The 14,118-nt window shown below is 41.1% G+C and overlaps 1 protein-coding gene and 1 pseudogene across 1 annotated transcript; both read left to right on the forward strand.

Annotated features, from left to right (window-relative positions):
* The first annotated feature begins 539 nt into the window (after window positions 1–539).
* Window positions 540–3,126, forward strand: CTAGE15 (CTAGE family member 15). Its single transcript, NM_001008747.2, has one exon. It carries the CDS (start codon window positions 557–559, stop codon window positions 2,888–2,890), a length of 2,334 nt encoding a protein of 777 aa, NP_001008747.1. The 5' UTR covers window positions 540–556; the 3' UTR covers window positions 2,891–3,126.
* Window positions 3,485–3,587, forward strand: RNU6-162P (RNA, U6 small nuclear 162, pseudogene; annotated as a pseudogene).

Consider the following 14,118-nt stretch of genomic DNA (forward strand, 5'->3'; position numbering starts at 1 on the left):
AAAAGTATGACCCTTTCTTATATGTTTCTTGCATGCTGTGTACAAGAAACTCACTTGAAATTTACCAATACAGGGCAGACCAAATTAACAGGATGAAAAAAGATATATTACACAAACATTAATGAAAGGAAAGCAAGAGTGCCTGTATGTATATCAGATAAAGCAAAGAAAATTACCAGAAACAGAGAGATTATATAATGATCAAAGGTTTAATTCATGAAGAAGACAGCAATTTTAAAAGTGTATTCACCAAAAAATAAAGCTTCAAAATATGTGATGTGAAAACTGCCAGAACTAAGGCGGGCCGGGCTCAGACCAGCGCTGCCTCAGGATGTGAAGTGTAACAAGAGGGCCAGGGGAGGTGGTGGGGGACAACATGGGCCTGTGAGGCCTGTGGGTGCCCGCGTTCCCCAGCTCCCCCCGCAGCCCGCTCCACAGTGGTCCGCTCCGGTTGGTTGTCACGTGCGCATTCGGGTTCCAGACCCAAGGCTGCGTGTTCTCCACCGCTTGTTGTGGCCAGTGTTACTGCGGTGACCGCCAGAGCAGCCTCGACGCTATGGAGGAGCCCGGTGCTACCCCTCAGCCCTACCTGGGGCTGGTCCTGGAGGAGCTACGCAGAGTTGTGGCAGCACTACCTGAGAGTATGAGACCAGATGAGAATCCTTATGGTTTTCCATCGGAACTGGTGGTATGTGCAGCTGTTATTGGATTTTTTGTTGTTCTCCTTTTTTTGTGGAGAAGTTTTAGATCGGTTAGGAGTCGGCTTTACGTGGGAAGAGAGCAAAAACTTGGTGCAACGCTTTCTGGACTAATTGAAGAAAAATGTAAACTACTTGAAAAGTTTAGCCTTATTCAAAAAGAGTATGAAGGCTATGAAGTAGAGTCATCTTTAGAGGATGCCAGCTTTGAGAAGGCGGCAGCAGAAGAAGCACGAAGTTTGGAGGCAACCTGTGAAAAGCTGAACAGGTCCAATTCTGAACTTGAGGATGAAATCCTCTGTCTAGAAAAAGACTTAAAAGAAGAGAAATCTAAACATTCTCAACAAGATGAATTGATGGCGGATATTTCAAAAAGTATACAGTCTCTAGAAGATGAGTCAAAATCCCTCAAATCACAAATAGCTGAAGCCAAAATCATCTGCAAGACATTTAAAATGAGTGAAGAACGACGGGCTATAGCAATAAAAGATGCTTTGAATGAAAATTCTCAACTTCAGACAAGCCATAAACAGCTTTTTCAGCAAGAAGCTGAAGTATGGAAAGGACAAGTGAGTGAACTTAATAAACAGAAAATAACATTTGAAGACTCCAAAGTACACGCAGAACAAGTTCTGAATGATAAAGAAAATCACATCAAGACCCTGACTGGACACTTGCCAATGATGAAAGATCAGGCTGCTGTGCTTGAAGAAGACACAACGGATGATGATAACCTGGAATTAGAAGTGAACAGTCAATGGGAAAATGGTGCTAACTTAGATGATCCTCTGAAAGGAGCTTTGAAGAAACTGATTCATGCTGCTAAGTTAAATGTTTCTTTAAAAAGCTTAGAAGGAGAAAGAAACCACATTATTATTCAGTTATCTGAAGTGGACAAAACAAAGGAAGAGCTTACAGAGCATATTAAAAATCTTCAGACTCAACAAGCATCTTTGCAATCAGAAAACATATATTTTGAAAGTGAGAATCAGAAGCTTCAACAGAAACTTAAAATAATGACTGAATTCTATCAAGAAAATGAAATGAAACTCTACAGGAAATTAACAGTGGAGGAAAATTACCGAATAGAGGAAGAAGAGAAGCTTTCTAGAGTGGAAGAAAAGCTCAGCCGTGCCACTGAACAGCTGGAGACCTATAGAAAGCTAGCCAAAGATCTTGAAGAAGAATTGGAGAGAACTGTTCATTTTTATCAAAAGCAGGTTATTTCCTACGAGAAAAGAGGACATGATAATTGGTTGGCAGCTCGGACTGCTGAAAGAAACCTCAGTGATTTAAGGAAAGAAAATGCTCACAACAAACAAAAATTAACTGAAACAGAGTTGAAATTTGAACTTTTAGAAAAAGATCCTAATGCACTTGATGTTTCAAATACAGCATTTGGCAGAGAGCATGCCCCGAATGGTCCCGCACCATTGGGTCAGCGTTCATCTGAAACGAGAGCTTTTCTCTCTCCTCAAACTTTGTTGGAGGATCCACTGGGACTCTCACCTGTGCTTCCGGAGGGAGGAGGAAGAGGCCCAAGAGGCCCAGGGAATCCCCTGGACCATCAGATTACCAATGAAAGAGGAGAACCAAGCTGTGACAGGTTAACCGATCCTCACAGGGCTCCTTCTGACACTGGGTCCCTGTCATCTCCGGTGGAACAGGACTGTAAGATGATGTTTCCTCCACCAGGACAATCATATCCTGATTCAGCTCTTCCTCCTCAAAGGGAAGACAGATTTTATTCTAATTCTGAAAGACTGTCTGGATCAGCAGAACCCAGAAGTTTTAAAATGACTTCTTTGGATAAAATGGATGGGTCAATGCCTTCAGAAATGGAATCCAGTAGAAATGATGCCAAAGATGATCTTGGTAATTTAAATGTGCCTGATTCATCTCTCCCTGCTGAAAATGAAGCAACTGGCCCTGGCTTTATTCCTCCACCTCTTGCTCCAGTCAGAGGACCATTGTTTCCAGTGGATACAAGGGGCCCGTTCATGAGAAGAGGACCTCCTTTCCCCCCACCTCCTCCAGGAACCATGTTTGGAGCTTCTCGAGGTTATTTTCCACCAAGGGATTTCCCAGGTCCACCACATGCTCCATTTGCAATGAGAAACATCTACCCACCGAGGGGTTTACCTCCTTACTTTCACCCGAGACCTGGATTTTACCCCAACCCCGCATTCTGAAGGTAGAAGCGAGTTCCCTTCAGGATTGATTCCGCCTTTAATGCTACTGAACATCCAGGACCACAAAAGAAACCTGACAATATTGTTGCTTTCTTCAAAAGTAATTTTGACTGATCTCATTTTCAGTTTAAGTAACTGCTATTACTTAAGTGATTGCACTTTTGCTCAAATTGAAGTTTAATGGAATTATAATTCTCAGGATAGTATTTTGTAAATAAAGATGTTTTAAATAGGAATCTTATGAGTAAATCATTCCATTTTATTATTCTAGATCATATAACTATTTTAATTTGGTGAATTAATCCACTGTTATAGAAACAATAATGGGAGTTTTATATATGTAATCTTGCAGGTGGGGAGGCTTTAAATTCTAAAGGTTGTGGTGTCTTCATGCCAAGAACTGTATTCACTGTGGTTGTAGATAAATGTGAAAGTAACTTTATGCTTAATTTAATAAACTTTAGTTGATTTTTTTTTTAAAAAGAAAACTGCCAGAACTGAAAGTAGGTATAGATGAATCCACAATTATAGTTGGAAATTTTCTCTTGCGTTTTTCAATAATGGATAGAACTAGACAGAAAATCAGCAAGGAGTGTTGGCTTTGGCAGCACTTTCTAAAATTAGAATGACACAGACAAGATTAACACGTCTCCTGCATATAGATTACACAAAATTTTGTGAAGCGTTTCATACTTTAAAAGGGGGAAAAAAAAAAGAAAATCAACAAGAATATAAAACAACTCAAAATGCCATTAACCAAAAGAATCTATTTGGCATTTACAGAATATTCCACACAACAACAGCAGAATACACATTTTTTTTGAGTGCTGACGAAACACATGGCAAGATAGAGCTATCCTAGGCCCTAAAACTCACCAGAACAAATTTAAAAGAGATCGTAATCATCCAGAGCAGGTGAAAACCAGAAACCATTGTAGGGAATCCAATTGGAAATCAGCATAAGAAAGATATGAAAATTCCCAAACACTTGGAAATTAAAAAAACACACTTCTAACTAATCTATCGGTCAAAGAAGAAGTCTCAAGGAAAAATTTTAAAAATACATTGAACTGGATAAACATGAAACTGTGACATATCAATGTACTGAGAAGGAAACTTATAGCAGTAAATGCATGCATTAGTAAAGAGGAAAAGTCTCGAGTGAGCAATAGATTTCCACCTCAGGAACCTAGAAAAAGAAGAGCAGAATAAACTCAAAGCAAGTAGAGGGTGGAGATTAATGAAGATAAGAAAAGAAAACACTTATATTTAAAAGAGAAAAAATAGTTAAACCAATAAAACAAAGGGATAGTTCTGTTAAAAGATTAATAAAATTTAGCAAACTCAAACAGAAATTAAAAGGAAAAGAAAAGGCATAAATTTTAAATACCATAATGAAACAGGTGATATCACTACAGACACCACATATAACAAAGGACAATCAAGGAATATTACAAACCACTCCACACACATAAATTAGACAACTTAGACAAAATGGACAAAATGCAGTGTTCCTCCTGCAACACAAGCAAACTCAACTCACCATGCATGAATAGATCATTTGAATAACTCTATAACCATTAAGAAAATTGAATTCATAATTTTAAAACTACCAGAAAAGGAATCTCTAGGTTTAGATGGTTTCACTGGAGAATTCTACCATGTTTAAAAAAAAAAACACCAATTCTACACAATCTTTTCCAGAAAACAGAAAAGGAGAGAACACTCCCCAATTTATTTTTTGAAGCTATTATTACACTGATACCAAAACCAGGAGAGAGAGTGGGTGTGTGTGTGTATATGTAAAGATATGTATAACTTAATATTAACAAATAGAGTTCTACAGTATATTAAAAAAATGTACCCCATGTCCAAGGGGGGTTGTTTCCAGAAATACAAGCCTGATTAAGTCTCAAAAAGTCAATCAAAATAATCCACCATGTTAACAAACAAAAGAAAAGTTACGTTGCATCAGTTGATGCATAATAAACATTTAACAAATTTAACACATTTCAATATCCATTCATGATAAAATCTCTCTATAAAGCAGGAATAGAGGAAACTTTATCCACTTGATAAAAAGCATCTACAAAAAGCTAACATTATACAGTCATGTGTTGTTTAACGATGCGTTAAATGATATGTTCTGAGAAATGTGCTGTCAAGTGAATTTGTCATTGTGCAAATGTCGTAGAGTGTACTTACAGAAACCTAGGTGGTATATATAGTAGCCACTATACACCTTGGCTATATGGAAGAGCTCATAGCTCCTACGGGACAAACCTGTGCAGCATATTAGTGTAGTGAATACTATAGGTAATTGTAACACAGTAAGTGTTATGTTTATGGTAACAATTTGTAATAGTCACCAACTGTGGTATTTATGTAACTAAGTATATCTAAATACATGAAATGTACAGTAGAAAATATAAAAGATTTTTAAGATGGTACACCTGTATAGGGAACTTACAATAAATGGAGCTTGCAGGACTGGAAGTTGCCTGGGCGAGTTAGTGAGTGAGTGGTGAGTGAATATGAAGGCCTAGGACATTACTGGCTGTGGGTTTGTCACAGATAGCTCTTATTATTTTAAGATGTGTTCCATCAATACCTAGTTTATTGAGAGTTTTTAGCATGAAAGGCTGTTGAATTTTGTCAAAGGCCTTTTTTGCATCTATTGAGATAACTGTGTGGGTTTTGTCATTGGTTGTGCTTATGTTACGGATTACGTTTATTGATTTGCATATGTTGAACCTGCCTTGCATCCCAGGGATAAAGCCAACTTGATGGTGGTGGATAAGCTTTTTGATGTGCTGCTGGATTCTGTTTGCCAGTATTTTATTGAGGATTTTTGCATCGATGTTCATCAGGGATATTGGCCTGAAATTTTCTTTTTTTGTTGTGTCTCTGCCAGGTTTTGGTATCAGGATGATGCTGGCCTCATAAAATGAGTTAGGGAGGAGTCCTCTTTTTCTATTGATTGGAATAGTTTCTGAAGGAATGGTATCAGCTCCTCTTTGTACCTCTGGTAGAATTCAGCTGTGAATCCATCTGGTCCTGGGTTTTTTTTGGTTGCTAGGCTATTAATTACTGCCTCAATTTCAGAACTTGTTATTGGTCTATCCAGGGAATCGAGTTCTTCCTGGTTTAGTCTTGGCAGGGTGTATGTGTCCGATAATGTATCCATTTCTTCTAGATTTTCTAGTTTATTTGCGTAGAGGTGTTTATACTATTCTCTGATGGTAGTTTGCATTTGTGTGGCATCAGTAGTGATATCCCCTTTATCATTTTTATTGTGTCTATTTGATTCTTCTCTCTTTTCTTCTTTATTAGTCCAGCTAGCAGTCTATTTTGTTCATCTTTTCAAAAAACAAACAAGCAAAAAAACAGCTCCTGGATTCATTTTTTTAAAAGGGTTTTTTGTATCTCTATCTCCTTCAGTTCTGCTCTGATCTTAGTTATTTCTTGTCTTCTGCTAGCTTTTGAATTTGTTTGCTCCTGCTTCTCTAGTTCTTTGAATTGTGATGTTAGGGTGTCAGTTTTAGATCTTTCCCACTTTCTCCTGTGGGCTTTTATTGCTATAAATTTCCCTCGAAACACTGCTTTAGCTGTGTCCCAGAGATTCTGGTACGTTGTGTCTTTGTTCTCATTGGTTTCAAAGAACTTATTTATTTCTGTTTTAATTTTATTATTTACTCAGTAGTCATTCAGGAGGATGTTGTTCAGTTTCCATACAGTTGTGCAGTTTTGAGTCAGTTTCTTAATCCTGAGTTCTAATTTGATTGCACTGTGGTCTGAGAGACTGTTTGTTATGATTTCCCTACTTTTGCATTTGCTGAGGAGTGTTTTACTTCCAATTATATGGTCAATTTTAGAATAAGTGTGATGTGGTGCTGAGAAGAATGTATATTCTGCTGATTTGGCATGCAGAGTTCTGTAGATGTCTATTAGGTCCACTTGGTCCAGAGCTGAGTTCAAGTCCAGAATATCATTGTTAATTTTCTGTCTTGTTGATCTGTTTAGCATCAACAGTAGGGTGTTAAAGTCTCCCACTATTATTGTGTGGGAGTCTAAGTCTCTTTGTAGGTCTCTAAGAACTTGCTTTATGAATCTGGGTGCTCCTGTATTGGATGCATGTATATCTAGCATAGATAGCTCTTCTTGTTGCATTGATCCTTCTACCATTTTGTAATGCCTTATTTGTCTTTTTTGATCTTTGTTGGTTTACAGTCTGTTCTATCAGAGACTAGAATTGCAACCCCTGATTTTTTTTTTTTTTTTTTTTTGCTTTCTATTTTCTTGGTAAATCTTCTCCCATCCCTTCATTTTGAGCCTGTGTGTGTCTTTGCACATGAGATGGGTCTCCTGAATACAGCACACCGATGGGTCTGGACTCTTTATCCAATTTGCCAGTCTGTCTTTTAATTGGGACATTTAGCTTGTTTACATTTAAGGTTAATATTGTTATGTGTGAATTTGATCGTGTCATTATGATGTTAGTTGGTTACTTTGCCTATTAGTTGATGCAGTTTCTTCATAGTGTTGATGGTCTTTACAATTTGGTACATTTTTGCAGTGGCTGGTACCAGTTGTTCCTTTCCACATTTAGTGCTTCCTTCAGGAGCTTTTGTAACACCGGCCTGGTGGTGACAAAATCACTGAGCATTTGCTTGTCTGTGAAGGATTTTACTTCTCTTTCACTTATGAAGTTTAGTTTGGCTGGATATGAAATTTTGGGTTGAAAATTCTTTTCTTTAAGAATGTGAGGGCAGGGATGCAGCTGAAAAGCTGGCGGCCCAGACAGAAGTCTGCCCCAAGCAGCCTGAGCCCTCAGGCACCCCCCAGCTCCCTGGGAGCTCCCCTCCACCTGCCAACGTCAGTGCCACACTCGTGTCTGAAAGGAATAACAGGAACAGGACAGACTAACCTTTTAAATGACGTGAAAAAATCAGAGGTGAAAATTGTACATTTGGAATGTATTTATGTAAATTTTGTTGAAATTTAGTGTAAACAAAGATTTTCTCAGTGGTCTAGAAAATAAAAAAGAAAAAAAAAGAAAAGAATGTGGAATATTGGTCCCCACTCTCTTCTTGCTTGTAGGGTCCTGCCAAGTCTGCTGTTAGTCTGATGGGTTTCCCTTTGTGAATAACCTGACCTTTCTCTCTGGCTGTCCTGAACAGTTTTTCCTTCATTTCAGCCTTGGTGAATCTGATGATTATTTGTCTTGGGGTTTTTCTTCTCAAGGAGTATCTTTGTGGTGTTCTCTGTATTTCCTGAATTTGAATGTTGGTCTGTCTTGCTAGGTTGGGGAAGTTCTCCTGGATAATATCCTGAAGTGTGTTTTCCAACTTGGTTCCATTCTCCTGGTCACTTTCAGGTATACCAATCAAACGTAGGTTTGGTCTTTTCATGTAGTCCCATATTTCTTGGAGGCTTTGTTCATTCCTTTTCATTCTTTTTTCTCTAATCTTGTCTTCATGCTTTATTTCATTAAGTTGATCTTCAATCTCTGATATCCTTTCTTCCATTTGATTGATTCAGCTATTGATACTTGTGTATGCTTCACAAAGTCATCGTGTTGTGTTTTTCAGCTCCATCAGGTCATTTATGTTCTTCTCTAAACTGGTTATTCTAGTTGGCAATTCCTGTAATGTGTTTTCAAGGTTCTTAGCTTCCTTGCATTGGGTTATAACATGCACCTTTAGCTCAGAGAGGTTTGTTTTACCTACCTTCTGAAGCCTACTTCTGCCAATTCATCACTCATTCTCCATGCAGTTTTGTTCCCTTGCTGGCGAGGAGTTGTGATCCTTTGGAGGAGAAGAGGCTTTCCGGTTTTTGGCATTTTCGGCAATTTTGCACTGCTTTTTCCTCATTTTTGTGGATTTATCTACCTTTGGTCTTCGATGTTGGTGACCTACAACATCGAAGATGAAACCCCATGAAGATGGGGTTTCAGTGTGGATGTCCTTTTTGTTGAAATTGATGCTATTCCTTTCTGTTTGTTAGTTTTTCTTCTAACAGTCAGGCCCCTCTGCTGCAGGTCTGCTGGAGTTTGCTGGAGGTCCACTCCAGACCTTGTTTGTCTGGGTATCACCAGTGAGGGCTGAAGAACAACAAAGATTGCTGCCTGTTCCTTCCTCTAGAAGCTTCATCCTAGAGGGGCACCTATCAGATGTCAGCCTGAGCTCTCCTGTAGGAGGTGTCTGTCAACCCCTAATGGGAGGTGTCTCCTAGTCAGGATGCACTGGGTTCAGGGACCCACTTGAGGACACAGTCTGTCCCTTAGCAGAGCTTAAGCACTGTGCTGGGAGATCCACTACTCTATTCAGAGCTGGCAGGCAGGGACGTTTAAGTCTGCTGAAGCTGTGCCCACAGCCACCCTTTCCCCCAGCTGCTCTGTCCCAGGGAGGTGGGAGTTTTATTTATAATCCCCTGACTGGGCTGCTGCCTTTGTTTCAGAGATGCCCTGCCCGGGGAGGAGGAATCCAGGGAGGCAGTCTGGCTACAGTGGCTTTGCTGAGCTGCTAGCTGCAGTGGGCTCTACCCTGTTTGAACTTCCCAGCAGCTTTGTTTACCACCTATTCAAGCCTCAGTAATGGCAGATGCCCCTCCCCACACCAAGCTCCAGCGTCCCAAGTCAACTTCCAATTATGATGCTCATAATCAAATTATGATGGAAGCGTGAATCTGGCACCAGCTACTTTGGTGTCAAGTAGCCAAGTCACGTACTAATTTATTTTTAATGTAAAGCTATACAACCTTCTTTCTATACTTAAAATTTTAATTAAAATATTACTAAAAATTTCTTAATGATTTTATTTCATGGTGAAAGAGACTCAGTCTGGAATGTAAAGTATGTCTTACAAGTATTTCTCATTTTGCAGGACATTGTCTAGGTGTCCCTCTCCCATGGATGATCATTAGTGTGGTTTATCTTTATGCTTTGAGAAAATAAGTCTGTAGTATGTTATTATATTCTACTATATAAAGATACTCTTCAACTTATGATAAGATTATGTTTCAATAAACCCATCATAAGTTGATACTATTCTAAGTTGAAGATGCTGTTTTTTTTAAACAAAATGTAGACTCTTGCCATGTTGCCCAGGCTGGAGTGCAGTGGCTATTCTCACGTGTGCTCATAGTGCACTATAGTCTCAAGCTCCTTGAGCTCAAACAATCCTCCTGCCTCAGCTTCCTGAGCAGCTGGGACTATAGGCACAAACCACTATACCTGGCTTGAAGATATGTTTAATAAACCTAACCTACCCAACTTCATAGCTTAGCCTAGCCCACCTTAACCGTGCTTAGAACACTAACATTAGCCTACAGTTGGGCAAAATAATCTTACACAAAGCCTATATTATAGTAAACTGTTGAATATTTCATGTAATTTATTGAGTACTGTACTGAAAATGAAAAATATAATGGTAGCATGAGTACTTGAAATATGGTTCCTACTCAATACGTATCACTTTCCCACCATCATACAGTTGAAAATCTTAAGTGAAAGCATTGTAAGTTGGTGACTGTCTGTATTTGTTTATTTATTTTACTACTTTCCCTTTTTCTTGTAATAGTTGAAAGGCATGATAAGGTAAAATATTATTGCCTAAAAATACTCTGCCTCTCTGGAAAATAAAAAAGACAGAAGTTTCCAAGAAATCTTTCAAGAGATATAAAAATCGTATGAAAATGAGATAATTAAAGAATAAATCTGTAATTATGCATGTTGTAAAATACAAATGGGAGGCTGGAAGAGAGACTGTAGATGAGCCGTGAAAATGAAAGCAGAAATAAAGTAGGAATGGAAGCATTCATATAGGAATTGTGAGATATAGTATCTTATTTTTGTTCAACACTAAATAGTTTTCAAGTCTAGCAGAGGACTTGGAAATTTTAAGCTACTCAACAGTGAATCTCAGAGATTTCTTCATTCATCTCACAGTTGGTCTTATATAAATATACAGCTCTGTAATGATTATATGTATCAATTTTTTTTCCAGTCAAGGAGTTTCCCTCCTCATGTTCATTTCTCTGAAAAATACCACTTGGTACTAGATGATGTGAATGGCTGTGATTGAACTGGTTAATTAGGGTAATAGGCTGACATCTTGTTTCAGCAATTAAACAATAAAAAAGATGTTCTTTATTAAGATACGAATCCATTTCTTAAACGAATTGGTTCCATAGATTTCCATAGCATTAACCATGTTGATAATTCAAATGCTTCATCACTGAACAAAAATGCTCAACCTCAGAGACTATCCTTGCATATAAATTTTTTTATTTTCAGTTGAGTATTGGCCAACTCATATCAAACATTGTTCATAGATTTTTTTTTCAAGATGACAATTAGAAGCTTTTAGCATGCCACAGCCACTTGGAAATAGCAAGGCAGTGCATAAAGATAAATACTGTGAGCTTTAATTCAAGAAGGAAAATGGAGATCCACTGGAATTGTGAAGAACACTCCAGATCCTGAGAAGGAGAATGCTGGCAAACAGCCACCATAATGCTGTCCAGCTGAGAAAAGTGAATGAAGTCCCAGCACATGAGAGGTAGAAGCTTCCCTCTGTGACTCACGTTTCCACTGAGGATCAGAGCAATCCAGGCTGAGAGACAGCACTTTGTTTCTCCCAAATCCTGGAGCTAACTTCAGGAGAGGCTTGGAGATGCTGATAGGGACAGACACTGGATAAAGCTACAGGCATTTTCCCAGTCCCAGGACAGAGAACAGGATACCATTTTTAATTTGGGTGCATCTAAAGTCAGCCATTCTTTGGCAACCCAGCAGTGTGGCCATGCAGGCATTTTAGTATTGGGGTAGAGAATGGAGCACCTGCTCTGGATCAGGGTAGGGTCCTCCACAGCCAGAACCATGGAAAATACCTCAACAGTAGGCACGGGAATTGTGCTTTCCCCAGTCACAGGCCTTGGGCAAGAGGAGAGCTGCTATGGCTGTGGTTTCTCCTGGGCAGTGAGACTTTCAGCCAGGGCCAGCCTGATGAACTAGAACTGGTCTGTGTGTGTTATTGCTGGGTGTCCCAGCCTACTTTCCTGAGACTGTGGTGTAGCAGGGCCTTCTCCATTCTACATATAAGCAGATCTCCAAGCATTTAAAGCACCCGCTCTCATGGGCTAGCAGCCTGGGTTGCCCCTTCCTTCCTGTGCAGAGATCCTTGTGCAAGGGGGCCATCTCCACTTCTTGCCCAGGCAGATATCCAGGGATTCAGAGTGCCCATTAGCGTGAATCAGCAGTCTGAGCTGCTCCATTCTTCTGGTGCAGAGATTGCAGTGCAGTGGGACCCTCTCTGCTCCACAGATTTCCAGGTATTTGGAACACCTGCTTGCCTGGAGCAGTAAGTAGCTTGAGCCACCCCATCCTTCCTGCGCAGCGATAGTGGTGCAAGGAGACCCTCTCCACTCCACAACCAGGCAGATCTCCAGGCATCTGGAGCAGCCACTCTCCTGGATTAAGAGATCAGGCTGCCTCTGACACTCCTATGCAGAGAACTTGGGGCCAAGGAGGTTTCCTACCTCCATGCCGAGGCACGCCTCTGGACACTTGGTGGCTGCCCACTGGACTCTCCCTCAGAGCTGGTGCTTGTGCCTATCATTGGGGGACCTGTAGATGGACTTGCCAGGTCCAGCCCTACCCAGTGTTTTTCCAGTAAAGGAGGATCGAGTATATACCCAGCCCCATTGGCTGCAACCTGCTATTACCCATAAGCCCCCATCTACTGGCTTGTAGGTCAAAGTACCCAGCCCAACATAAAACCTGCGGACAGAAGTGCATAGGGTTATGGAAGCAAAGTCAAAAGACCCTACCCAGCATTATCCTCAGTCACATCCTCTAGGGAGAGGAGGAAAGGGAAGGGGAAAGAAACAGAAAAAAAATATATAGGGAAAGGAAGAAAAATAAAAAATCCGAGCTCCGGCTGGCAAGATGGCCAAATAGGAAGAGCTCCAGTCTGCAGCTCCCAGTGAGATCTATGCAGAAGATGGGCGATTTCTGCATTTCAAACAGAGGTACCCGGTTCATCTCATAGGGACTGGTTGGACAGTGGGTGCAGCCCACAGAAGGCGAGCCAAAGCAGGGTGGGGAGTCGCCTCACCCGGGAAGTGCAAGGTGTTGGGGAACTCCCTCTCCTAGCCAAAGGAAGCCATTAGGGACTGCACTGTGACAAATGGTGCACTCTGGCCCAGATACTGCACTTTTCCCACGGTCTTCACAACCCACAGATTGGGAGATTCCCTCCAGTTCCTATGCCACCAAGGCCCTGGGTTTCAAGCACAAAACTGGGCAGCCATTTGGGCAGACACCAAACTCGCTGCAGGAATTTTTTTTTTTTTCCCATAACTCAGTGGAACCTGGAACACCAGTGAGACAGAACTTTTCACTCCCCTGGAAAGGGAGCTGAAGCCAGGGTGTCAAGTGGTCTGGCTCAGTGGGTCTCACCCCCACAGAGCCCAGCAAGCTAAGATCCACTGGCTTGAAATTCTCGCTGCCAGCACAGCAGTCTGAGCTCCACCTGGGACGCTCAAGCTTGGTCGCGGGAGGTTCATCCGCCATTGCTGAGGCTTGAGTAGGCGGTTTTACGCTCACAGTGTAAACAAAGCCGCTCTGAAGATTGAACCGGGTGGAGCCCATCACAGCTCAGTAAGGCCACTGTGGACAGACTGCCTCCTTTCTGGGCAGGGCATCTCTGGGAAAAAAAAAAAAAAAGCAGCAGCCCCAGCCAGGGGCTTATAGATAAAAAACCCCGTCTCCCTGAGATAGAGCACCTGGAAGGAGGGGTGGCTGTGGGCGCAGCATCAGCAGACTTAAACATCCCTGCTTGATGGCTCTGAAGAGAGCAGCGGACCTCCCAGCACAGCCTTGAACTTCACGCTCTGCTAAGGATCAGACTGCCTTCTCAAGTGGGTCCCTGACCTCTATGTCTCCTGATTGGGAGACACCTCCCAGTAGGGGCCAACAGATACCTCATACAAAAGAGCTCTGGCTGGCATCTGGCAGGTGCCTTTCTGTGACAAAGCTTCCAGAGGAAGGAACAGGCAGCAATCTTTGCTGTTCTGCAGCCTCCGCTGGTGATACCCAGGCAAAGAGGGTCCTCCAGCAAACTCCAGCAGACCTGCAGCAGAGAGGCCTGATTGTTAGAAGGAAAACTAACAGACCGAAAAAAATAGAATCAACATCAACAAAAGGATGTCCACTCAGAGACCTC

This window comes from Homo sapiens, chromosome 7 (assembly GCF_000001405.40).
Source record: "Homo sapiens chromosome 7, GRCh38.p14 Primary Assembly".
NCBI lineage: Eukaryota > Metazoa > Chordata > Mammalia > Primates > Hominidae > Homo > Homo sapiens.

Excerpts from the sequence above, each read along its gene's own strand:
- CTAGE15 (NM_001008747.2), top strand. The coding sequence starts at position 557 with ATGGAGGAGCCCGGTGCTACCCCTCAGCCCTACCTGGGGCTGGTCCTG.